This window comes from Homo sapiens, chromosome 17 (genome assembly GCF_000001405.40).
Source record: "Homo sapiens chromosome 17, GRCh38.p14 Primary Assembly".
NCBI lineage: Eukaryota > Metazoa > Chordata > Mammalia > Primates > Hominidae > Homo > Homo sapiens.
Window position 1 is genome coordinate 79888536 of NC_000017.11, and position 784 is coordinate 79889319.

A 784-nucleotide genomic window follows, 5' to 3' on the forward strand; every position below is an offset into this window, starting at 1 on the left:
ATGTGACTATGACACGGCCCATGAAGATTCAGGCACAGCTGAGTGGCACCGTGGTCATGGCTGTGGGTTTTCTCTGGGTCTCAGCTTGCCCTCTCTCTCTGTTTGCACCATCTGCCTCTGTCACATCCCGGGCCCTTCTGACTTCACCGTGATAGCGAAACTCCTCTGAGATGCCGTGGGGCTGAGTCCGCTGTCAGTTTGACTGGATGAAGCTTCAGTGAGCTCGAGCCTGTCCCTCTTCCGCTGAAAGGGAAACCCTGGGGTCTGGCCTTTGGTTAGAATATTGGGATGCCCCAGCTGTGTCTGTGAGGGCGTTTCCGGGGGGAGATTGCTGTGAGGGTTGGGAGACCAAATGGTGAAGACCCACCCTCCATGTGCGTGGGCACACCCAGTGGCCGGGGTCCCAAATGGAACAAGAAGGCAGAGAAAGAATGAATTCCGGCTCTCTCCCGAAGCCAGCTCACTTCTGTCCTGGACGCCAGGACTCCAGGCTCTCTGGCTTTTGAACTCCAGGACTCGCACGCATGGCCTCCTGGGTTCTCAGGCCTTTGGCCTCAAACTGAGAGTGATGCCAGCGGCTTCCCTGGCTCTGAGGCCTTTGGACCAGGAGTGAGTCACAGCCCGGGCTCCCTGGGTCTCCAGCTTGCAGGCGGCCTGTCATGGGACTTAGCCTCCATAATTGAGTGAGCCAATTCCCTTCCAAACTCCCTTCTCACCCCTCTGTCTCCCCGCTGTGGGTTCTGTCTTCCTGGAGAACTCTGACTGAAACAACTCCTTTGTGGGA

General features: G+C 57.4%; 1 annotated feature.

Moving 5' to 3' along the window:
• Positions 1 to 502: an enhancer, noted in NCBI's record as "H3K4me1 hESC enhancer chr17:77862335-77862836 (GRCh37/hg19 assembly coordinates)". NCBI's record gives its function as "activates a minimal SCP1, AML or CMV promoter by ChIP-STARR-seq in naive H9 embryonic stem cells {active_cell/tissue: H9 hESC(naive)}" and the evidence as "EXISTENCE:reporter gene assay evidence [ECO:0000049][PMID:30033119]".